The 24,020-nt window shown below is 42.7% G+C and overlaps 2 protein-coding genes and 1 long non-coding RNA gene across 21 annotated transcripts in view, besides 9 other annotated features; 2 read left to right on the forward strand and 1 right to left on the reverse strand.

Annotated features, from left to right (window-relative positions):
• Window positions 1-3,981, forward strand: part of AK7 (adenylate kinase 7) — a 97,300-nt gene extending 93,319 nt beyond the window's left edge. For 5 of the 10 annotated variants that reach the window (XM_006720021.3, NM_001350888.2, XM_017020958.2 and 2 more), the window contains 2 exons: window positions 1,452-1,610; window positions 2,512-3,981. In XM_006720021.3, coding sequence (XP_006720084.1) covers window positions 1,452-1,610; window positions 2,512-2,571 — 219 coding nt within the window. In that variant the 3' untranslated portion in view covers window positions 2,572-3,981. The remainder of the gene's footprint in view (window positions 1-1,451; window positions 1,611-2,511) is intronic. The other 5 variants (NM_152327.5, NM_001350890.2, NM_001350892.2 and 2 more) reach the window with 1 other exon arrangement.
• Window positions 15,641-16,237: an enhancer, noted in NCBI's record as "NANOG-H3K27ac-H3K4me1 hESC enhancer chr14:96967424-96968020 (GRCh37/hg19 assembly coordinates)". NCBI's record gives its function as "activates a minimal SCP1, AML or CMV promoter by ChIP-STARR-seq in naive H9 embryonic stem cells {active_cell/tissue: H9 hESC(naive)}" and the evidence as "EXISTENCE:reporter gene assay evidence [ECO:0000049][PMID:30033119]".
• PAPOLA-DT (PAPOLA divergent transcript) lies at window positions 16,202-16,880 on the reverse strand. Its single transcript, NR_122121.1, has one exon. It is a non-coding gene; the product is annotated as a PAPOLA divergent transcript (long non-coding RNA).
• Window positions 16,238-16,832: an enhancer, noted in NCBI's record as "NANOG-H3K27ac-H3K4me1 hESC enhancer chr14:96968021-96968615 (GRCh37/hg19 assembly coordinates)". NCBI's record gives its function as "activates a minimal SCP1, AML or CMV promoter by ChIP-STARR-seq in naive and primed H9 embryonic stem cells {active_cell/tissue: H9 hESC(naive and primed)}" and the evidence as "EXISTENCE:reporter gene assay evidence [ECO:0000049][PMID:30033119]".
• Window positions 16,348-16,691: a silencer, noted in NCBI's record as "fragment chr14:96968131-96968474 (GRCh37/hg19 assembly coordinates)". NCBI's record gives its function as "represses an EF-1alpha promoter that drives an FKBP-Casp9 reporter gene in an ReSE screen in K562 erythroleukemia cells {active_cell/tissue: K562}" and the evidence as "EXISTENCE:reporter gene assay evidence [ECO:0000049][PMID:32094911]".
• Window positions 16,750-17,009: an enhancer, noted in NCBI's record as "active region_8987". NCBI's record gives its function as "activates an Ori minimal core promoter by ATAC-STARR-seq in GM12878 lymphoblastoid cells {active_cell/tissue: GM12878}" and the evidence as "EXISTENCE:reporter gene assay evidence [ECO:0000049][PMID:35858748]".
• Window positions 16,750-17,428: a biological region, named in NCBI's record as "NANOG-H3K27ac-H3K4me1 hESC enhancer GRCh37_chr14:96968616-96969211".
• Window positions 16,833-17,428: an enhancer, noted in NCBI's record as "NANOG-H3K27ac-H3K4me1 hESC enhancer chr14:96968616-96969211 (GRCh37/hg19 assembly coordinates)". NCBI's record gives its function as "activates a minimal SCP1, AML or CMV promoter by ChIP-STARR-seq in primed H9 embryonic stem cells {active_cell/tissue: H9 hESC(primed)}" and the evidence as "EXISTENCE:reporter gene assay evidence [ECO:0000049][PMID:30033119]".
• The window catches only part of PAPOLA (poly(A) polymerase alpha), a 64,741-nt gene continuing 57,650 nt past the window's right edge, over window positions 16,930-24,020 (forward strand). For 6 of the 10 annotated variants that reach the window (NM_032632.5, NM_001363662.3, NM_001363665.3 and 3 more), the window contains exon 1: window positions 16,936-17,154. In NM_032632.5, coding sequence (NP_116021.2) covers window positions 17,147-17,154 — 8 coding nt within the window. In that variant the 5' untranslated portion in view covers window positions 16,936-17,146. Of the gene's footprint in view, window positions 17,155-17,404; window positions 17,509-24,020 lie in introns of those variants that run through there. The other 4 variants (NM_001293627.1, NM_001252007.1, NM_001252006.1 and 1 more) reach the window with 2 other exon arrangements.
• Window positions 17,130-17,249: a silencer, noted in NCBI's record as "silent region_6055". NCBI's record gives its function as "represses an Ori minimal core promoter by ATAC-STARR-seq in GM12878 lymphoblastoid cells {active_cell/tissue: GM12878}" and the evidence as "EXISTENCE:reporter gene assay evidence [ECO:0000049][PMID:35858748]".
• Window positions 18,584-19,085: an enhancer, noted in NCBI's record as "H3K4me1 hESC enhancer chr14:96970367-96970868 (GRCh37/hg19 assembly coordinates)". NCBI's record gives its function as "activates a minimal SCP1, AML or CMV promoter by ChIP-STARR-seq in naive H9 embryonic stem cells {active_cell/tissue: H9 hESC(naive)}" and the evidence as "EXISTENCE:reporter gene assay evidence [ECO:0000049][PMID:30033119]".
• Window positions 19,086-19,585: an enhancer, noted in NCBI's record as "H3K4me1 hESC enhancer chr14:96970869-96971368 (GRCh37/hg19 assembly coordinates)". NCBI's record gives its function as "activates a minimal SCP1, AML or CMV promoter by ChIP-STARR-seq in naive H9 embryonic stem cells {active_cell/tissue: H9 hESC(naive)}" and the evidence as "EXISTENCE:reporter gene assay evidence [ECO:0000049][PMID:30033119]".

Genomic DNA, 24,020 nt, shown 5'->3' on the forward strand with positions numbered 1-24,020 from the left:
CTCCTGTCTGTGTCTCAGTTTCTCCATCTGTAAAGTGGGGATAATGATAGCACCTACTTCATACAGTCATTGTGGTGACTAAAGAGGTAATATACGTAAACTATGCACGTGCCTGGCAAGTAGTGTGCATCACATAGTATCCTCATCACATCTTAACTTTTTAATAATGTATTGCAGTTTTTCTTAATTCATGATTTATTTTTTAACATTATTTATGGTATTTTCTCTGACCACACAAAAGTTTCATGTTTATATGTACTCAAATTCACCCACCTGTTTCCCATTTTGATCTCTGGGTTGGCAATCTTGCTAAGAAAGACCTCCTTTCAAACAAATATCAGCTAGGACTTTTTTTTTTTTTTTTTTTGAGACGGAGTCTTGCTCTGTCGCCCAGGCTGGAGTGCAGTGTTACGATCTCGGCTCACTGCAAGCTCCGCCTCCCCGGTTCACGCCATTCTCCTGCCTCAGCCTCCTGAGTAGCTGGGACTACAGGTGCCCGCCACCGCGCCCGGTTAATTTTTTTGTATTTTTAGTAGAGACGGGGTTTCACCGTGGTCTCGATCTCCTGACCTCGTGATCCACCCGCCTCGGCCTCCCAAAGTGCTGGGATTACAGGCGTGAGCCACCGCGCCCAGCCCAGCTAGGACTCTTTATCTTGCAAGTGATAGAAAAGCAAACTCAAAATGACTTCACCATAAAGAAAACCAGAAAAGTCCAGGGGTAGGGCTGGCTTCAGGTGAGGCTTGATATAGTGGCTCAAATGATGTCACCAAAGACTTAGGATCCCCCTCTCTGTCCTGCCTTGCATGGGAGGCTTCATTCTTAGGTGCACCTACCATGCATGGCAGGGCACTTGATGTGCTGATCTTTAACTAGAATTTTTTAAAAAGACAAGTCAACAATTTACAAGTTATTATTAGTCATGTATTTGTACTCGTACTGTTTACAATTTAGGTATTGTAAATTGTAACCAATTTTGATGTTGTGCTGATCCTTAATTAGAATCTATGGCCAGGAGCTGGCTGGATGATGGGCTTAAATCCCACTCAAACCAAACCACTAGGCTGAGAAGGGAGATTTCTCAAAAGAAATTTGGAATTATGATTCCCAAGAGAGAGGGTGGCTGTATGCTGAGCAAAGAATTGCACATGTCACTATCCCAATGCCCTCCAGACTTTCTAGTGGCATTTCTTTTTTTTTTTTTTTCTATTTTGCTTCATCTGGGCAGCTAGAAATTATTTTGGTGTAAGAAGTGATCCAATTTATTATTTTCCAAATGGCTAAGTTGTTGTAACACCATTTATGTCTTTTCTCTGCTGATTGGAAATGCCATCTGTATCATAGATGGTGACCATTTCTAGCAGTGTCTCAATGCACTGTAGGGTGAACTGTGTGAGTGTTCTCCCCTTTCTCACTACACATTTACTTTACCACCAAATATTCTATTTTAGAATAAACGACTGGAGGAAGTGAAAAGAGAAGAAAGAGAATTACTGGAGGCTCAGTCAATTCCCCTGAGAAACTATTTAATGACCTATGTGATGCCAACTCTTATTCAGGGCCTGAATGAATGTTGCAACGTCCGACCCGAAGACCCTGTTGATTTTCTGGTAACATATTTAATTTTTAAAAAAAGATCAATTTGAGTTTGGGTGTGGCGGCTTACACCTGTAATCCCAGCACTTTGGGAGGCCAAGGTCAGGGGATCACTTGTGGTCAGGAGTTAGAGACCACCCTGCCAACATAGTGAAACCCCGTCTCTACTAAAAATACAAAAAAAAAAAAAAAATTAGCTGGGTGTGGTGGCACGCGCTGTAGTCCCACCTACTCAGGAAGCTGAGGCAGGAGAATCGCTTGAACCCTGGAGGTGGAGGTTGCAGTGAGCCGAGATCACACCACTGCACTCTAGCCTGGACGACAGAGTGAGACTCCGTCTCAAAAAAAAAAAAAAAAAGAAAAAAAAAGAAAAAAAAATCTGCCTGAATCTTTTTTTTTTTTTTTGAGACAGAGTCTCACTCTGTCGTCCAGGCTGGAGTGCAGTGGCACGTTCTCGGCTCACTGCAACCTCCACCTCCCGGTTCAAGTGATTCTCCTGCCTCAGCCTCCTGAGTAGCTGTGATTACAGATGTGCACCACCACCCCAGGCTAATTTTTGTATTTTTAGTAGAGACAGGGTTTCACCATGTTGGTCAGGCTGGTCTTGAATTCCTGACCTCGTGATCTGCCTGCCTCGGTCTCCCAAAGTGCTGAGATTACAGGCGTGAGCCACCACGCCTGGCCTAATCTGCCTGAATCTTAACAGAAAACCAGTTGAGATAGCAAAATTATGTTTCTGGTTCTTTGGGAAATAGCTTCTAATATATTCACCATTTATAATAAGATTTTTTTCCCTCATTGGTCAAACCCATGTAAGATTTTTATTATTCATTTGAAAGTAAAAAATGTATGTACTTTTACTTATTTATTTATTTATTATTTATTTTGATATAGAGTTTCACTCTTGTTGCTCAGGTTGGAATGCAATGGCACAATCTCGGCTTACTGCAACCTCCACCTCCCGGGTTCAAGTGATTCTCCTGCCTTAGCCTCCCAAGTAGCTGGGATTACAGGCGCCTGCCACCACACTCAGCTAATGTTTTGTATTTTAGTAGAGAGGAAGTTTCACCATGTTGACCAGGCTGGTCTCGAACTCCTGACCTCAAGTGATCCACCCGCCTCAGCCTCCCAAAGTGCTGGGATTACAGGCATGAGCCACCAAGCTTGGCCCAGGATGATTTTTAAATTGTAAACATTACTAATACAAATACATGACTAATAATAACTTGTAAACTGTTGACTTGTCTTTTTTTAAATTGTAGGCAGAATATCTCTTCAAGAACAATCCTGAAGCACAGTGAAACTTGAAAGATCTGGTATTATCTACCTTTACAGAACCACAGATCACTTATTATACTTTGAAAAATTGCTTTGAAAAATGCTTTTCCAGTTCTTAGAAAATTCTTTTTTTGTAGACAAATATTCTATAAACTAGAATCTCTATTAAAAGCTATATGACATGACTATGTCATTAAAACTATATTTGAAATGTAAATTGATAAAGACATTTGTGCATAGCTCATGAGACAAATACTGATTTAATATTTTATTCTTTAGTCAGATCTAAATATACCGCTTCTGTACACTAATGTTTATAGGTATTTATAGCATGAAGAAAATCAGACTATATATTGTAGACTATGTATTATTCTAACATGTAGGCTAATTTACATGACTTGTTATCGCCCCAATAACAATGTTATTAGAAATGGAAATAAATTGAAGTGATTTATGCCTGTTGACTCACAGTAAATCAGACAAGATTGGTGCCTGTAAGGTGGCTTTTTTTTTTTTTTTTTTTAAATGAAGCAATGGTTAGGGAAAGGTTGCTTTGAGTTCAGGGTCAGGATCCCAGACAATGAATCGGAGAGAACTGTAAACCTTTAGGCGGAGAAATCTGCATAACAGGATAATTCCAATCTTTGTGATAAGTGAGAAGTTGCTAAATATTTTCAACACACTTTATAACATAGGCATAAGTTATCAATCCTATAGTCTTTTCCAGTTCTAAAAATCCCATAAGATTCCTAGAATTACCCTAAATGAGAAATTAGTTTAGGTTTAATGGCATATGTATTTTATCTCTTTAAATAATGTAACCTAATATAACTGCCCGACTTTTTATTTGTGCTAAAATACATGTAACATAAAATTGACCACTGTAACCATTTTAAAGTGTATAATTCAGTGGCACTAAGTTCATTCACAATGATCTGCAGCCACCACTATCTAGTCCAGAACTTTCTCATCACCCCAAATGGAAACCCAGCACCTATTAGGCAGTCACGCTCCATTATTCCCTCCCCCCAGTTCCAGGCAACCACGAATCTGCTTTCTGTCTCTATGGATTTACCTATTATAAATAAAACCATATAATGGGTGGTCTTTCGTGTCTGGCTTCTTTCACTAAGCAAAATGTTTTCGAGGTTCATCTATGTCATACAATGTGTTAGTACTTCATTCCTTTTCATAGCTGAATACTATTCCATTGTATGAACATACCACATTTTGTTTAATTGTTCATTTGTTCATGGACATTTGGGTTGTTTCCACCTTTTGGCTACTGTGACTACAACTGGCATGAACATTTGTGTGCAAGCTCTTATTTGAACACAGGTTGTCAGTTCTGTTGGCTAGATACCTAGGAGTGGAACTGCTGTCATATGGTCATCCTATGCTCAACTTATTGAGGAACTGCCACACTGTTTTCCACAGTGGCTGCACCATTTGACATTCCCACCAGCAGTGTATGAGGGATTCCAGTTTTCTGCATCCTCACCAACACTTGTTATTTTCTGTGTTTTTATTTTTTTAATGGTGATCATAGTGGGTGTGACGTGGCATCATATTGTGACTAAGAATCTTTTAATGCACTTGCTTCCATTTCGATGTCTTCTCTGGAGAAATACACAGGCATACCTCATAGATATTAAGGGTTTGGCTCCAGACCCCCACAATAAAGCTAATATTGTAATAAAGCAAGTCACCCCAATTTTTTTGTTTCCTAGTGCATATGTTATTTTTCCACTATATTTTACACTATCTGTTAACTGTGCAATAGCATTATGTCTAAAAAACAAGGTACCTATCTTAATTTAAAAATACTTTATTGCTTCATGCCTGTAATCCCAGCACTTCGGGAGACCGAGGTGGGCAGATCACGAGGTCAGGAGATCGAGACCATCCTGGCTAACACGGTGAAACCCCGTTTCTACTAAAAATACAGAAAAATTAGCCAGGCGTGGTGGCAGGTGCCTGTAGTCCCAGCTACTCAGGAGGCTGAGGCAGGAGAATGGCATGAACCCGGGAGGCGGAGCTTGCAGTGAGCCGAGATCGTGCCACTGCACTCCAGCCTGGGCGAGAGAGTGGGACTCCTTCTCAAGAAAAAAAAAAAATTATTGCTAAAAAATGCTAACAATAACCGGAGCCTTCGGTGAGTTGTAATCTTTTTGTTGGTAGAGGGTCTTGCCTCAATTCTGATGGCTGACGACTGATCAGGGTGGTGGCTGCTGAAGGTTGGGGTAGCTATGGCAATTTCTTAAAATAAGACAGCAATGGGCTGGGCACAGTAGGCTCATGCCTGTAATCCCAGCACTTTGGGAGGCTGAGGCAAGCGGATCACCTGAGGTCAGGAGTTTGAGACTAGCCTGGCCAACATGGTGAAACCCCATCTCTACTAAAAATACAAAAATTAGTTGGGCGTGGTGGCGTGTGCCTGTAATCCCAGCTACTTGGGAGGATGAGGCAGGAAAATCACTTGAACCCAGGGGGTGGAGGTTGCAGTGAGCCGAGATTGTGCCACTGCACTTCAGCCTGGGTGACAGAGTGAGACTCCATCTAAAAAAAAAAAAAAAAAAAAAAAAGACAGCAGTGAAGTTTGCCACATTGATGGACTCTTAAAGAAAAATTTCTCTGTAGCATGTCACGTTGTTTGATGGCATTTTACCCACATTAGTACTTTTTCAAAGTTTGAGTCAATCTTCTCAAATCCTGATACTGCTTTATCAACTAAGTTTATTAAATATTCTAAATCCTTTGTTGTACATTTCAACAGTGTTCACAGTGTCTTCACTAGTAGATTCCATCTCAAGAAACCACTCTCTTTGCTCATCTATAAGAAGCAACTTCTCATCTGTTTAATGTTTTATCACGAGATTGCAGCAATTCAGTCACATCTTTTGTCGTCACTTCTAATTCTAGTTCTCTTTCTATTTCCATCACATCTGCAGTTACTTTATCCATTGAAGTCTTAATCACTTCAAAGTCATCCAAGAGGGCTGGAATCAACCTCTTTCAAACTCCTGTTGATGTTGTCATTTTGACCTCCTCCCATGAATCAGAAATGTTCTTAATGGCATATAGAATGGTGAATCCTTTCTGGAAAGTTTTCAATTTACTTCGCCTATATCTATCAGAGGAATCACTATCCATGCCACCTATAGCTTTATGAAATGTATTTCTTAAATAATAAGACTTGAAAGTCAAAATTACTCCTTGATTCATGGGCTGCAGAATGTTGTGTTAATAACATGAAAACATTAATTTCTTTATACATCTCCATCAGAGCTCTTGGGTGACTACATGCATTGTCAATGAGCAGTAATATTTTGAAAGGAATCATTTTTTTTTTTTTTTTCTGAGCAGTAGTTCCTAACAGTGGGCTTAAACTATTCAGTAAACCAAGCCATTGCACAGCGGTTCATGCCTGTAGTCCCAGCTAGTCAGGTGGCTGAAGCAGGGTAGTGCTTGAGCCCAGGAATTTGAGGCTGTGATGTGCAATGATCACATCTGTGAATCACTACTGCACTCCAGCCTGGGCAACATACTGAGACTCTGTCTCTTAAAAAAAAATTTCAGTAAACCATGCTGTAAATAGACATGTTGTCATCCAGACTTCATTGTTCCCTTAAGAGAGCACAGGCAGAACAGATTTAGCTATATTCTTAAGGGCCCTAAGGTTTTGGGAATGGTAAATAGACAATTGGCTTCAACTTAAAGTCACCAGCTACATTAGTTTCTAACAAGAAAGTCAGTCTGTCTTTTGAAGCTTTGAAGCTTAGCATTGACTTCTCTTTAGGTAGGAAAGTCCTAGATGGCATCTTCTTCCAATATAAGGCTGTTTTCGCTATGTTGAAAATGTTGTTTAGTGCAGCCACCTTCTTAAATGATTTTAGCTAGATCTTCTGAGTAACTTGCTGCGGCTTGTACATCAGCACTTAATGTTTCACCTTGCACTTTTAGATTATGGAGATGGCTTCTTTTCTTAAACCTCATGAACCAACCTCTGCTAGCTTCAACTTTTCTTCTACAGCTTCTGCACCACTCTCAGCCTTCATAGAATTAAAGAGAGTTAGGCCCTTGCTCTGGATTAGGCTTTGGCTTAAGGGAATGTTGTAGCTGGTATGATCTTCTGTCCAGACCATTCAAACTTTCTCCATATTAGCCATAAAGCTGTTTCACTTTCTTATCATTTGTGTGTTCACTGGAGTAGCACTTTTAATTTCCTTCAAGAACTTTTCCTTTGCGTTCATAACTTGGCTAACTGGCACAAGAGGCCTAGCTTTTGGTCTGTCTCAGCTTTCAATATGCCTTCCTCACTATGCTTAATTATTTCTACATTTTAATTTAAAGTGAAGACTTGTGACTCTTCATTTGAATAGTTAAAGGCCATTGTAGGGTTATGAATTGGTCTAATTTCAATATTGTTGTGTCTCAGGGAAAAGATAGGTCCGAGAAGAGGGACAGAGATGGTAAAATGGCTGGTCGGTGGAGCAATCAGAACACACATTTATCAATTAAGCTTGCTGTCTTATATGGGCATGGTTTGTGGCGCCTCAGAACAATTACAATAGTGACATAAAAAAATCACTAATGAGGCTGGGCGCGGTGGCTCAAGCCTGTAATCCCAGCACTTTGGGAGGCTGAGGCGGGCGGATCACGAGGTCAGGAGATCGAGACCATCCTGGCTAACACGGTGAAACCTCTCTCTACTAAAAATACAAAAAATTAGCCGGGCGTGGTGGTGGGCGTCTGTAGTCCCAGCTACTCAGGAAGCTGAGGCTGGAGAATGGCATGAACCCAGGAGGCGGAGCGTGCAGTGAGCTGAGATCTCGCCACTGCACTCCAGCCTGGGCGACAGAGCGAGACTCTGTCTCAGAAAAAAAAAAAAAAAAATCACTAATGAATAATAATAATAAAGTTAGAAATAGTGCAAGAATTATCAAAATGTGACACAGATATATGAAATGACCAAATGCTGTTGGAAAAATGGTGCTGATATACTTGCCTGATGCAGGGCTGCAAAAACCTTCAATTTGTAGAAAACAGTATCTGCAAAGTGCAGTAAAGCAAAGGACAATAAAATGAGGTGTGCCTGTATATTCAAGCCCTTTGCTCACTTTTTATTTGCTTTGTTTTTTTGTTGTTGAATTGTAAGAGTTCTTTATATGTTATGGATACAAGACCCTTGTCAAATGTATGATTTGCAAAGATTTCCTTCCATTCCATGGGTCTTTTCATTCTGTTGAGAGTGCCTTTTAAGACACAAAAGGTTTTAGTTTTGAGGAAGTTTAATTTACCTATTTCCTATTTTTAATTTTGTTTCACTGCACTATTTTTGGAAACTTTTTTTTTCTTTATAATTTCAACTTTTATTTTAGATTCAGCGGGTAACCTGTGCAGGTTTGTTACATAGGTATATTGTGTGATGCTAAAGTTTGGGACACAAATGACCCCATCACTCAAGTGGTGAGCATAGTACTCAATAGTTAGTTTTTCAACCCTTGCCCCCGCCTTTCCTCCCACCTCTAGTAGTCTCCAGGGTCTATTGTTGCCATCTCTATGTCCATGAGTACCCAATGTTCATTAGCATAGGATAATGGCCCCCAGCTGCGTCCATGCTGCTGCAAAGGGCATGATTTATTTTTTATGGCTGCACTCTATACTATTTTTGACCCTTATATTTTAATTAAAAATCCCAATAAAAAGAATACATTCTCCACAGTTTGAAATCATTAGTCTTTATAATAGTTACATTTTCGTGCCTTCATTTCATGACATTGCTTCCTGGTTTACTGAAAAACAAAAAACAAACAAAAAAAATAAGCCATCAAAAGAGAGCTTCTTTGTCTTCATGGGCGTGGAACCAGCAAAAGAAAAAAAAAGGATAAAAGAGAGCTTCTACATCCTCCCACTACAAACCTATCTCTACCTTCCCTTCTGCTACAGAGAACTGTGTGTGCTCCCGTCTGAGGTCAGCCCTCAACTGTGTCCTCGCTCCTGTCCCTCCTCACATAATCAGATTCTACTCTTAAAATTGTCTGCTTTCTCTTGTAGCTTAATTTTTCTCTCACTTCTGGATCATCATGCTAAGCTTTAAACATGAGGTACTAGCTTCCGTACTTCAAAACAAGACAAAACCAAATTAAAATGCAAAAACCTTCCCACACCTCCACATCCTCCTCCAGCTATGGTCCCAATATAGCAAGGTTACTAGCGAGCTCCATATTTCCAAATCCAATTGGTAATTCTCAGGCCTCGTCTTACTGGGTGTCTCTGAGCATCTGACACATTTTATCATTTCCTCCTTCAAACACTTTCTTCCCTCCATCTGAATGTCTAGTAGGCATGCTAAACTTTAACATGGCCAACTCTGATTCCTGATCCCCCTCCTCCCTCCCCTCTACCTGCTGCTCCCCCATCTTCCCACCTCAGTTATTGGTAACTCCATCCTTCCAGTTGCTCAGGCCCAAAACCTTGGAGTCATTCTTGATTCTTTTCCTTTTCTCTCTCTGCCTTTTTTTTTTCCCTAGATGGAGCCTCTCTCTGTCACCCAGGGACTGGAGTGCAGTGGTGCAATTTTGGCTCACTGCAACCTCTGTCTCCTGGGTTCAAGCGATTCTCCTGTCTCAGCCTCCTGAGTAGCTGGGATTACAGGTGCGTGCCACCACACCTGGCTAATTTTTGTATTTTTAATAGAGACAGGGTTTTGCCATGTTGGCCAGGCTGGTCTCAAACTTCTGACCTCAGGTGATCCACCTGCCTCGGCCTTCCAAAGTGCTGGGATTACAAGCGTGAGCCACGGTGCCTGGCTCTTTTCCTTTTCTCTTACCCCTCATCCAATACATCAATGTATTATATTGGCTCAACTTTCAAAACGTATCTGGAGTCTCTGTGCTTCTCATCCTTCCAACACTACCATCCATTAATCCATTAACCAATTATTGCATTAATCTATGAATGGGTTAATGCATGCAAGAGGACAGGGCCCACATCACCCAAACATCTCTTAAGGGTCCCATCTCTCTACATTGCCACATTGGGGATTAAATTTAAATATGAATTTCGGAGGGGACAAATATTCAAATCATAGCAAGTTGGTATCATTTACAATAAAATAGGTAGGGGTAACCTAAGGAAGATGTGTAAGACCTCTACTGAAAATTACAAAACATTACTGATAGTAATTAAACATGAAATAAGTGGAGAAATGAAGGGACAGACCATATTAATACTTTATAAAGCCCAATATTGTTAATACTTCAATTCTTCCCCAAAATGATCTATAGAATCAATGTAACTCCTATCAGAATCCCAGTATCTTTTTCCCTCTCTTTCGTTCACTCCCTCCCTCCCTCCCTACTCCTTCCTTCCTTCCTTCCTTCCTTCCCTCTTTCCTTCCATCTTTGCTTGCTTCCTTCTCACTTTATTTTTTGGGGGGATGAAAATCAGTAATCTGGGCCAGGTGCGGTGGCTCATGCCTGTAATCCCAGCACTTTGGGAGGCTGAGGCGGGCGGATCACCTGAGGTCAGGAACTCAAGACCCGCCTGACCAACATGGAAAAACCCTGTCTCTGCTAAAAATACAAAATTAACCGGGTGTGGTGACGCATGCCTGTAATCCCAGCTACTCGGGAGGCTGAGGCAGGAGAATCGCTTGAACCCGGGAGGTGGAAGTTGTGGTGAGCCGAGATTGCGCCATTGCACTCCAGCCTGGGCAACAAGAGCGAAACTCCGTCTCAAAAAAAAAAAAAAAAAAAAAAAAAAAAGAAGAAGAAAAGAAAAGAAAACCAGTAATCTGGTTCTAAAATGTATATGGCAATGCAAAGGACCTAGAATAATCAAAACAATTTTGAAGAACAAACCTAGAGGACTTACACTCTCCAGATATCAAGACTTATTACAAAGCTACAGTGATTAGAACAGACACATAGATCAATGGAGCAGAATCAGGAACCTAGAAATGGACCCACACATTTATAGTCACCTGACTTAGAGCAAAGGTGCCATGGCAATTCGATAAGAAAGTATGATCTTTTAAATAAATGGTGCATGGCCATCAACTAGAGATCCACATATTAAAAACAAAGCCAAGCCTTGACCTCTACCTCATACTGCACATGAAACTATTTTGAAGTGGAGCATAGAATTAAATGTGAAAGTCAAAATAATAAAATGGCTGGATGTGGTGGCTCATTCCTGTAATTCCAGCACTTTGGGAGGACGAGGCAGGAGAATCGCCTGAGGCCAGGGATTCCAGACCAGCCCGGGTGATGTAGCTGGGACCTCCTCTGCATTAAAAATAATAAAAAAAAAATTAGCTGGGCGTGGTGGCATGCACCTGTAGTTCCAGCTACTTGGGAGGCTGGGGCCGGAGGATCAGTTGAGCCTGGGAGAGGGAGGCTACAATGAGCTGTAATCACAGCACTGCACTCCAGCCTGGGTGACAGAATGTAAGACTTTGTCTCAAAAAATAAATAGATATATTAAAAAAAGGGGAAATGAATTTAATGAAAGGACTGCTCAAGAGTATAGCACTCATTGGATAAAAATGCTTGTATTATTATTTTTATTTTAGTAATTAATAAGTCTGATCTTTGATTTTTTGAAAAGTATTGGCCCAGTGGATCATCAGAGTTCACTACTGGGATAAAAATCTCTGTGTCACACAGTATCTCCTACGACTACTCCTAAATGACAGCAAAATACAATCCATGTAGTTCCCAATATATGAAGAGCTTCTGTTCTCAAAAACATTTTCAAGCATTTTTTGTTTGTTTGTTTGAATACACTGTGGGCTTCTGGGAACCAGTTTTGAAATTCTTTCCACTATTTATGACACTGTTCTGTGGAAAATGTAGTCCCCCGTTATCTGGGGTTTCTCTTTCCTGTTTTGATTACCTGTGGTCAACCGTGGTCTGAAAATAGTAAATGAAAAATGTTAGAAATAAACAACTCATAAGTTTAAAATACCATACCATTCTGAGTAGTGTCATAAAATCTTGCACCTTCTTGCTCAGGTGGACATGAATCAGCCCTTCGTCTGGTGTTTCCACACTGTATACACTGCCCACCAGTTAGTCACTCAGCAGCCCTCTCCGTGATCGGATCAACTGTCAAATATTACAGTGCCTGTTTTCAAGTCACTCTTATTTTACTTAATAATGGCTCCAAAGTGCAAGAGTAGTCATGCTGGCATATTGTTGTAATTGTTCTATTTTATTATTGTTGCTGTTTACCTCTCACTGTGCCTAATTTATAAATTAAACTTTATCATAGGTACATATGCGTAGGAAAAAAACATAGTAAATATAGGGTTTGGCACTACCCTCAGTTTCAGGCATGTGCTGGGACTCTCTGAAGGTATCCCCTGGGGGTACAGAGAGACTACTATACTTAAAATTCCAGTAGAACACATCTTCCCCCTTCTCCGCAGCCACAAGAAAACAGGCACTAGGTGATGGGGCAATAGTCACGGAGACCAGCAGCAGCTGGAGGGAGGTGTGGGCAGGACTCAGGACAAGCAAGGCAAGGGTAACAGTAGACTGTTACCAATATACTATTAATTGGTCTTCTCTTACTCTTCACTTTCCTTGGCTAGAGTTTTACTCTTAACTGGGTCCTAAATATGATCTGTGAGCATCTAGATTATTACTCATTCATGAAATTTGAGTTGGAGTAGTCGCTGGGTGTATATAAGGTCCTTCCAGAGCCAAAACATGATTCCAAGCCATGATTCTTGTTTTCAGAGTTTATAATGTTTCCAGCCCAAATTTCTCTTCTTAGCTCCGGAAGCATATTTTCAACTGCCTCATAGACATTTCTGAATGTCCCACAGGCAGTTCAAAATCAACACATAGCTACTACTCTCCCGATCTCATCCACTCACCCAGTTATCCTCCTCTATTTCCTATTTCATTTATCAGTAGCTCCAATCACTGTCACCCGCCCCCACTCAGAACCTCCGAAATCATTTTGGTCTTCTTCCTCTCCATCACCTCTCCCATCCAGAATTAACTATGCCTTCTAAATCTTTCTCAGATTGCTCCCTTCTTCTCTTCCTTATTTCTTCTTCTTTTTTTTTTTTTTTTTTTTTGAGACGGAGTCTGGCTCTGTCGCCCAGGCTGGAGTGCAGTGGCGCGATCTCAGCTCACTGCAAGCTCCGCCTCCCGGGTTCACGCCATTCTCCTACCTCAGCCTCATGAGTAGCTGGGATTATAGGCGCCCGCCACCACGCCCGACTAATTTTTTTGTATTTTTAGTAGAGACGAGGTTTCACCGGATTAGCCAGGATGGTCTCAGTCTCCTGACCTCGTGATCCACCCGCCTCGGCCTCCCAAAGTGCTGGGATTACAGGCTTGAGCCACCGCGCCCGGCTTTCTCTTCCTTATTTCAAACTTCATTTCTCATCTGAAGGATTGCAAGAGCCGCCTCACCCATCTTCCAGCTTCAAAACCTCTCCTAGTTCAAATTCATTCCTTACACTTTCAGTCATCTTTCCAAAAATATAAATGTAACCTAACTCCTGTTTTAAAACTTTCAATGGCTCCTCCATTCACAAAAACAAAAATTCAAAATCGCTCAGAATTAACTTCAGGTCTCAGCTCAAAGGTCAGTTCCTCTGAAAAGCCTTCTCTATCTGAAGTTGGCCTCCACCACAACTCTAATGCCTGGTTTATTAATGCCGCTTATCACCATCTATAATTCCTTTGTCTGTTTATGGAGTCATTATATGATCTCCCATCTCCCCCTACTTCCTTTATTTTTGAGACATGGTCTCATTCTGTCACCCAGGCTGGAGCGCAGTGGCATGATCTTGGCTCACTACAGCCTTGACTTCCTGGGCTCAGGTGATTCTCCCACCGCAGCCTTCAGAATAGAGGACACAGGTGTGCACCACTATGCCCCTTATCTTCTGCCTCTCACTTAACTTTGCAGCTTTATTTTCACCACTCCTCACTAAATATTTTGTGGTTTAGTCACTTCAAAAGTTTCCCTTTCTCCAAATAAATTATTTGCACGTTTTAATTTTTATTTATTTATTTATTTATTTCTGAGGCAGAGTTTTGGTCTTGTTGCCCGGGCTGGAGTGCAATGGCACAATCTTGGTCCACTGCAACATGTGCCTCCTGGGTTCAAGCGATTCTCCTGCCTCAGCTTTTGAGTAGCTGGGATTACAGGCGCCCACCACTATGCCCGACTAATTTTTGTATTTTTAGTAGAGATGGGGTTTCAACATGTTTGCCAGGCTGATCTCCAACTCCTGACCTCAAGTGATCTTCCAACCTCAGCCTCCCAAAGTGTTGGGATTACAGGCGTGAGCCACTGCGCCCGGCCTCATTTTATTTTTAAAAATTGTTCTCTTTACCTGAGATGCCCTTCTACTCCTTCTGTCCACTTACCAAACCCTAACATATCAGGACGTGTCTGAAGTGACCTCTTACATGAAGTCTACCTTGACTCCATCCTCAATCCTCAATATTGTTCCTTTTAAATGCCTTAGGCAAGTAGCGTGATATCTAGCACATTCTAGGTACTAAATATTCATCAGCTGTGCTATCTAGCTGCCTCATTCTATGGAAGGCTGAAACAAAAATAGTTTGAAGCAATTATAGACCAAAAGCATGGATGTTTAGCGTCCCTCTCTTCACTGCCTTCTGAGATGCCTGGCAGAGGACAACATAAGCTGAAAAAGTCCCCATTCTTTTATTCATAAAGTACATCGTTAGTGCATTTTTTTTTTTTTTTTTTGAACAATGTCTTGCTCTGTTGCCAAGCTAGAGTGCAATGGCATGATCAGGGCTCACTGCAGTCTCAACTTCCTTGCCTCAGGTGATCCTCCCAACCTCAGCCTCCCAAGTAGCTGGGACTACAGGTGTGTGCCACCAAGGCCAGCTAATTTTTTTGATTTTTTTTTTTAGTAGAGACAACGACTTGCCACGTTGCCCAGGGTGGCCTAGAACTCCCGAGCTCAAGGAATCCTCTGCCTCCCAAAGTGCTGGGATTACAGGTGTGAGTGAGCCACTGTGCCAGGCCCCAGGGCATATCTTTACAAGCTGCTTTGAAGTCCATAGCCTTAATACATTATTGAATTATCTGGATCTCAGATTTTCAGTCTTTTAGGGACAACTATGCTACTGGGTCTCCAGCCAAAGCCACCTTGATGACAAGAGGAAAAGAGACTAAATGGAAGAAATGACAATCAAATATAAGTCTGTTTGCAGATCAGCACTATTTAATGGAAATGAAGGCCACATATATAACTTAAAATTTTCTAGTGGTCACATTTAAAAAAACAGGTAAAATTAATTTTAATAGTATATTTTCTTTTTTTTTTTTTTGAGACAGGATCTCGTTCTGTCAACGCAGGCTGGAGTGCAGTAGTGAGATGACGACTCACGGCAGCCTCCACCTCCCACTCCAGGGATCCTCCTACCTCAGTCTCCGGAGTAACTGGGACCACAGGCAGGAACTACCATGCCCAGCTAATTTTTTTTTCTTTTTTCTTTTTTTTTTTTTTTTTTTAACTTTTTGTATAGACGGGGGTTTCCCTATATTGCCCAGGCTGGTCTCTAACTCCTGCCCAAGCGATCCTCCCACCTCAGCCTCCTAAAGTGCTGGATCACAGGTGTGAGACACCGTGCCCGGCTTACATTTTCTTTACTGCAATATATCCAAAATATTTCAACGTGCAATCAATATAAAAAGTGATCAGTGAGGTATTTCACATTCGTCGAACTGACACCCGTGCGTATTTTGCACTTCCAGTGCCTCCTAAACGAACTAGCCTCATTTCAAGTGCTCAGTGGCCCTAAGTGGCCAAGGGGCTACACTAATGGACAGGGCAGGTCTAGGTCCTGTGTTTTTCCCATTCGGAGTCACCAGTCCTACTAGACATTCTGTGAAAAAAGGGAAAGCCTTTGTGAAACTTCCTGAGGACTCACAAATGCACATTATTACATTTAGAGTTTAGAACTTTGGTTAAGGCAGCGTCCTGTATTTGATTCTTTCCCTCTTCCTCTCCGCTAACCCCCTATGTGACACCGTAGAACTTATAATTCGTTCTAATTCGCAGATGGAGGGCATATGAGAGAGGAGGCTCTGCCTCAAACACTTTCTCAAACTTTTGCCGAGGGGTGGCGAGAAGGTAGACTTCCAGGTCCCACCCGATATAGATTAAGGGCTGGAAACACAGTCAAGGGGAAATTATGACCAAGACAACCTTTGCTAAAATGCCAGCGGTGACTGCCATTGATGTTCCTATAAAAGGTCAGCTCTGTCAGGAAGTTCCAGTGCATCATTTGTTCAAAAGTAAAATCAGCCCGTGTTCCAGAATTCGCGGACTGTCGTCAGTCCTAACCTACACATTTATTCGTTCAACAAATATTTCAGCGCCTGGGTCAGGCATCAGGAATACACTGGTGGTTAAAACAGACGGAAAGCTCCATCTGGTGGGACGCAGTCTGGGAGGGAAAGGGAGTCCTGGGGACATGTTTTCGTCGGCTCTAGGCTAAGCACCTCTCGCCGTAGCACACGGGGTCGGCACCGCTGCCCGGCGAAGTACTTGTTACTTTGCAGTCCAGTACGAAGCGGCGGAGTAACCGGTTCCAACCCAAGGCAGCGACTCATGCGAGTCGTTCTAAGCGCCGCGCTGGGGGGTACATACGGTGCACGCGTGGGTGCCTCACCCCCTGGCAGCGCCTCCAGGGACGCTGCTCCGGGAAAGAGCAGCCGCCGCGACCTCAGGCGGCGGGAAAGGTGGGACCTCACAATGCGCCGGAAGCGGTGCCTCGTGGCTTGGGATCTCTCCGGGTTCTTCCTTGCGCCGTCCACGCCGCACTGCCCACGAGGGCGTCCCCGCCCGAGGGACAACTCACCGCCCGGGGCCTCCCTGAGCGTTCCCTTCCACCATCTGACACCCACTGCTAAGTGTGAGAGGACCCAGGGGGTAATTGCCGGGCCGCAGGCGGCCTTAGGAACTCCGCTTCCCGTGAGGCTTCGCGGCGGACGGCGCTGGTGCGCAGGCGCACGCACGGCGTGCGTGGTGGCGTCAGCAGTTCTAGAACGTTGCTGTGGTAGCGCTCGGGCGCCATGTTAGGACGAAGGGGAAGGAGGAGAAGCGCTTAAAGCGGCGGGAGCGGTGCGGGAGAGGGGTTGGACCCAGGGCTGAGGCAGGCCCCCCCCTCCCTCCCGCCTCAGTGGATCATGCCCAGGGCGGCAGCGGCGGCGGTTGCGGGGGGGAAGTGACTGGGCGGTGCCGGCGCCGGAGACGATGCCGTTGTAAGTAATTTGTATTCTGTTTTCTTTCGCTCGCCGGCTGGGCCTTGGGGGGCGTCCGGGAAGGGGAAGAGGTAGGCGGAGAGGGTGGCACGCGAGCCCGACCCTCCCCGCTGGTAGGAGGCAGGCAGGACTGGGGACCTTCCTGTTTCCTCGCTCGCTCGCCGCCGCACTTCCCCCCGTGTGCTGGGTTCCCGCGTCCCCCGACCCTTCCTGGCTGGGTCAGCTGCCGTCGGGCCGGGGGCCTTCCCCTTCCGGAATTGCTGGCGGAACCTCTAACTCGCCCGGCCACTCCAGCTTCTCCGCCCCGTCCACAAAGAAAATCAAAACAACCCGAAAACAAAACATTGCCTGGTGGTGGGGAACCACGACCCTGCTGCACGCGGGATCAGCACTTGGGGTTCGGGCTCGCTCTCGGCGCCCCTCGGGCCCATTCGATGTTGCTTTTCTGTTCCTGGTCTGTCTCAGTTTGCTCACTCTCTTCCTCCCATTTCCAGATGCCTGTCTTGTGCGCCGGAGTTAGCCCCTTTCCACTGACCTTGTCTGAATGTAGGAGCACGAGTTAAAAGCCCAGCTTTGAGCGTTGAGTCCGCCTGCCTCCACCTCCGCCTCCCTAGCATTCACAGGCGGTCGGAGAAGGGGGCACTTCACAGGGTGCCCTCCTCCAAAACGACTTATGTATTGCTTTCCCTGTTTTGTTTTGATGGGGTAACCAGGTTTCATTCTGTTTCCTTCTTTCTCTATCTCTGGTGATACTTTTTTTTTCCTGGTTGTAAGGCTTGAAGCTAGTCTCTTTATGCTTTCTAATGCCACTGCGCCTTTTTCTTTTCTTGGTGGGTTTTTAAAAAGTTTTTTTCTCCCCTCCCCCTTTCTGATAATGAGATATAATTTGGCAGCTCATTGCCAGTAGATTACGGATTTTTTTTTTCCTGCAAATATACAGCATTGTAGAGGCCTAAATAGTGAGACTGCATTTCTTCCATTTTTGAATATTGAAGCGTAAGAGTGCCTCTTTGAGACCAGGGACCGAGTTTTCTTCATCTTAGTAGCCTCAAAACGCAACATGTAATTGACACTCAAAGTTTTGGTTAAATTCAGGATAAAGATTTTTGTGGTTTCTAGACATCGAATGTAGTAACTCAGGTCTATTTTTTTTTTGTAAGTAAGGATAATTTCTTTAGCACATAATCACCGATTGTAGTTTTACAATTATATATGTGTGTGAATGTGTTTCTTTACAGGTGAGACTCTAACTTTGGCACAGACCTTAATGACTTCTATCGCAATTTATGTATTTTAAAAGGATTTTCCATGGCTCCCACCCACCCCCTTAGGTTATTAAGAAGTCTATCACATTACTTCTGTGATGAAAACGTTTGTTAGACTTAACTAACTATACAGGTCTAAAATCTTGGAATCTGCATGGTTTCTGTTTATTGATTTTTCCCTTTCATAGAATAAGAGACCCTAGGAGAACTGAGTCTAAGCAAGATTGTTGTGGTGTTTCTCAGTTCAATAGGAGATAAATGTTTGCAGTGATGTCGTGATGACTGCGTTATTAAGTTAACATTTTGCTGTCTTTGAAAAGGGACTTCTTTTTCTGATAATCATACCAGCATTAAAAATGATAGATGTAAACCTTAAAAGGCTTCAATGAAGAAATAACATTAAGTAATTTGTGTCTTATTTCTAGGAATTAAAAGTACTTTTATACCTACTTTCCCCCAACATTCTTTGAAGAGGGAAGGTATACATTTCTGTGAAAGACCTTAGGTATTTCAAATTCTTCGCGAGTTAGTTCAAGTGTGTAAAATGGAAGACGGGGCCAGGCGCGGTGGTTCACGCCTGTAATCCCAGCACTTTGGGAGGCCCAGGCAGGTAAATCGCTTGAGGCCAGGAGTTTGAGATCAGCCTGGGCAACATGGCGAAACTTCATCTCAACAAAAAACACAAGTTAGCTGGGCGTGGTGGCTCATGCCTGTAATCCCAGCTACTTGGGAGGTTGAGGTGGGAGGACTGCTTGAGCCCAGGAGGCTGAGGCTGCAGTGAGCCTTGATCATGCCACTGCGTTCCAGCCTGGGTGACAGAGCGAGACTCAAAAAGTAAGTATACGATAATTACTGTAGTAAACAATAGAGAGACCAAAGAATGCCTAGTTAAAGAAAAATAGGGCTTCTTCCTCATTAAGTTGCTTTGTTTTTCATGTACTGCTGTCACACTGTCATAAATGTTGTTTTTTTGATGTGTTGGATTGTGATTTCCCGGCTATATTGTGTTTGGCTTTCATTTTTGGTATACCTGTCCTAATGTTAAATTTGGATGGGTGAGTGGCATTGGGGCATGGACCCTAGGTGAGTTGTCGGAATGAATTTAAATCAAAATTATCGAAATTTAGGATATTACAGAACATTTTGATCAAGTGTCCATATTTTGTCTAAATTTCATATGTAGCTACAAACATACTTTTGGAAAGATTATAGTCTGATTTAAGAGTCATGGTGGTGAAGCTTCTGAAAGTTTTGATAGTCTTTGGATCCATTAAACAGTTTCTCACCTAGTCATTATTGACATTTATGCCAGATTCATTCCTTGCAGGTGCCTGTCCTGTGTATTGTAGTTTAACAGCAGCCTTAGCTTCCACCTACTGGATTCCGGGAGCTCCACCCCTCCATTTCCCCAGTAATGACAATCAAAAATGTCTCCAGATATTACCAGATGTGCCCTGGGGTGCAAAATCTGGTTGAGAACCACGGCATTAACGAAAAGTGTGATGCCCTTATGGAAACTAGATGTATTTCTGCCCTACTCTGTGTTGGTCAGATATTTTTGGCATCAGCTCAGTTCTGAGTATCACACATATGATAAAAAGGTGTGAAGGAGAGTAACCAGTATCAGTAGCATTTATGCCACATGCATAGAATGTTGTCAAAGTTACCAAAAAGAGTTACTGCAAGGTTTAGGCGAGACAATAGCAAAAATGTTTTCGGGGGCTGCACAAAAAAGAGGGAATTGTAGTAGTTTTACATCGCCATAACAAGCAGAACTGGTACCTGCTGGTGGATGGTCTGTGCTTCCCAGAGCGGGATCTGTGGATGCTTGGGGAGGGGGACCACTGAGATCTTTCAGAGGGTACATAATGTTCAAACTATTTTCATGTTATTGAGATGTTTTGTCTTTCAACATTTGTACTTAACGGTGCAAAAGCAGTGGTGGAAAATGCTGTATCCATCATAGGAACAATCAAGGCAGAGAACCGGTATTGTATATAGTCATTTCCTTCCTTCCTTCCTTGCTTGATTCCTTCCTTCCTTGCTTCCTTCCGTTCTTGACGGAGTCTTGCTCTGTCGCCGGGCTGGAATGCAGTGGAGCGATCTCGGCTCACTGCAACCTCCACCTCCCGGGTTCAAGCGATTCTCCTGCCTCAGCCTTCCAAGTATCTGGGACTACAGGTGTACGCCACCACGCTCAGCTAATTTTTGTATTTTTAGTAGAGACGAGGTTTCACCATGTTGGCCAGGATGGTCTCGATTTCCTGACCTCGTGATCCCCCCCCACCTCGGCCTCCCAAAGTGCTGGGATTACAGGCATGAGCCACGGCGCCCGGCTGTCATTTTATTTCTTGAAGACTGCACACTCATAGTTTAAAAAGCTTTTGATGAAACAGTAAAAGGAGGTTAATTTTATTAAATCTTGACACTTTGTTTATTTAATGTACTGTGACCACGGAAAGTACTTGTGAAGCTGTATACTGGGGAGTAGAATGGTGGTTTTGAGGAGCACTTGTATGTTGATTTGTGAGCTAAACTGGTGTTCTCATGGAGCTCCATTTTTATCTGAAAGAACAAGTGATGAACTGTGGATATTCATATTTGAGTATTTAGGAGACTTAAATGAGAATAAAGCAAGTCTGTCACTCCAAGGTAAACAACTGACTATTCCTGGCCAGTGAAAAATTGGAGCTTTCAAGCAAAATATAGAATTTTAGAAAGCTTGCTTTTCCATCATGAGCTTGACGGTTTTTCCCAATACTTAAAAGATGTTTCTGCTGACATTGGTGGTAATATTAATGCATATAGTTTTAATGCTGTATAATGTGTGCTTAAAAAAAGAATGTTTTTTAATATTTGGTAGACCTGTATAATTCAGTGAACCCATATTTTCCAAATGACCATTTGTGATGTAATAAAATCATATGTGCATTCAAGGGTACATTCAGAGTGCAAGGTAAACCAGATTTTAATGCAACAGAGTACCAAGGGCTTATTAATAGGGTTTTAACTTTCATATTGTAACTAATCTTTGCAAAACTGCCACTTGTGGAGTTCTGGTGTAGTATCAAAGAAGACTACTCATATTAATTGAAAATACTAAATACTCCTCTTTTCCAGTTATAATGTTGCTCCCAGCACTATGGGAGGCCGAGGTGGGAGGATTATTTGAGCTTACAAGTTCAAGACCAGCCTGGGTGACATAGCCATCTCCACAAAACAAAAAGAAACAGTTATAATGTTGGTTTGATGCCAGGTTTTCTTCATATGCTTCAACTAGAACAATTTATTGCAACAGATTGAATGCAGAAGCAGCTATGAGAATCCAGCCATCTTTGGTTTAGCCAGAATTAAAGAGATTTACAGAAATGCAAAAGCATGCCATTCTTACTAAATTTTTTGTTTTGGAAAATAGTTTTTTTTTTTTTTTTTTTTTTTTTGAGACGGAGTCTCGTTCTGTCGCCCAGGCGGGAGTGCTGTGGCGCGATCTCCGCTCACTGCAAGCTCCGTCTTCCGGGTTCACGCCATTCTCCTGCCTCAGCCTCCCGAGTAGCTGGGACTACAGGCGCCCGCCACTGCGCCCGGCTAATTTTTTGTATTTTTAGTAGAGACGGGGTTTCACCGTGGTCTCGATCTCCTGACCTCGTGATCCGCCTGCCTCGGCCTCCCAAAGTGCTGGGATTACAGGCGTGAGCCACCGCGCCTGGCCGAAAATAGTTTTTTAAAGCTATGTTAACATGTAATGAGTTTCTTGTTATTTAAATGAATAAATACTTTAAAAGTTCTTCAGTTATAATTTCCAATGTAGTGGATATTGGTAAGCATAATGCATGTAAGAAAGAGCTCTTTGGAGTGCTCAATACATTTTAAGAGTTTTACAACTCGTAAAGGGGTCCTGAGACCAAAATGTTTGAAAACTTGAGAAATCCTGCTTGAGAACAGCTGCCCCAAGATGAAGTAGACTTTTCAGTGGTGGTATGAGCTGTCCATGCAGCACCTCTGGTGTTTTTTTGTTTTTCGTTTTTCTTGAGATGGAGTCTTGCTCTGTTGCCCAGGCTGGAGTGTAGTGGTGCTAGCTCGGCTCACTGCAACCCCTGCATCCCAGGTTCAAGTGATTCTCCTGCCTCAGCCTACCGAGTAGCTGAGATTATAGGCCCGTGCCACCACGTCCAGCTAATTTTTGTATTTTTAGTAGAGACAGAGTTTCCCTGTATTGGCCAGGTTGGTCTCGAACTCCTGACCTCAGGTGATCTGCCTGCCTTGGCCTCCCAAAGTGCTGGGATTACAGGCCCACCACGCCTGGCCTCTGGTGGTTTTCTGAACACTGTCTGGTGGTTTTCTGAACACTGCACCTCAGCCCACCCCAACCGTCTGTGATTTAAATAAAATTTTTTTGTTGTTGTCAGTGAAAAACAATATAGTAGATAACCTTTAGGAAAGATAACAGAACTGTGGGAGATTTTGATTCTCAGATTTTAAAATTTGGAGTTTTTGTAGTGAATTGCTGCTCAGTAAATGTTGATTATGGTTTTGAGATGTGGTGTTCTGCCTTAAACATGTTTTCAGTCCATATTTTTTGGTAGAGAAGTTGGAAGGCAAGGTATTGGAGTTGAGTAAATTTATGAGCCTACTCAGTTCCTATCCCTGATTGTTTTCCTCACCTTCTTAAGGCAGAAGCCAGTTCTGGCTTGATAACAACTTTGAAAATGTTTTGGCTCATCAGAACATTCTATTCTTGGGTAACTAAGTCAACTTTAGGTTAACATTACAATTAAATTTCATCTTCAGTTTTATCTAGGCAAGTTTATAAAGCTAGCTTCTTTCAGGTAAAATGAGACCATTTGGCTTCTTAGCTAGTTCTCATTTTGGGAGGGTGTGTGTGTCTCTTTTATTCTGTATGTTCAGGGTTCTAATTACCTAGCAGCTTTTAAATAATTGGACAATGCCAGTTTATGATTTACAAAGCAGCAACATTATAGGAGGTAATTGGTTCCCCTAAAAGTTGGTTAAAGTTGAGGCTCAAAAGAATACCTGACCAAGGTCATAAAGGTACTAAATTGTAGATTGGGGCTTAAATCAGCTCTGGATTCTGTGTTGCATTGTCATTCCAGTACACTATACCATCTCCTGTGGACACTGTAGGGAACCATGTGTGGTTAGCTCAGTTGGAGTCTTTATTTATTTTTGAGACAGGAACTCACTGTTGCCCAGGCTGGAATGCAGTGGTGTGATCATGGGTCACTGCAGGCTTGACCTCCCAGGCTCAAGGGATCCTCCCACCTCAGCCTCCCAAGTATCTGGGACTACAGGCACGCACCACCATACGTGGCCAATTTTTGTATTTTTTACTGTGACAGGGTTTTGCCACGTTGCCCAGGCTGCTCTCAAACTCCCGGGCTCAAGCAATCCCACCTTGGCCTCCCAAATTGCCGAGATTACAGGTGGCTCATGCCACCATGCCTGGCCAGTTGGAATCTCTGTATAGTTTCAAGTAGAATTAATTTTCAAGCTCAATTTTTTTTGTGTGTATAACATGTAAATCTCAAAGTATTTACATAATAAAAATGTATACAAAAGTATATAAACAAAAGTAACATATAG

The sequence above is a fragment of the Homo sapiens genome, chromosome 14 (assembly GCF_000001405.40).
Source record: "Homo sapiens chromosome 14, GRCh38.p14 Primary Assembly".
NCBI lineage: Eukaryota > Metazoa > Chordata > Mammalia > Primates > Hominidae > Homo > Homo sapiens.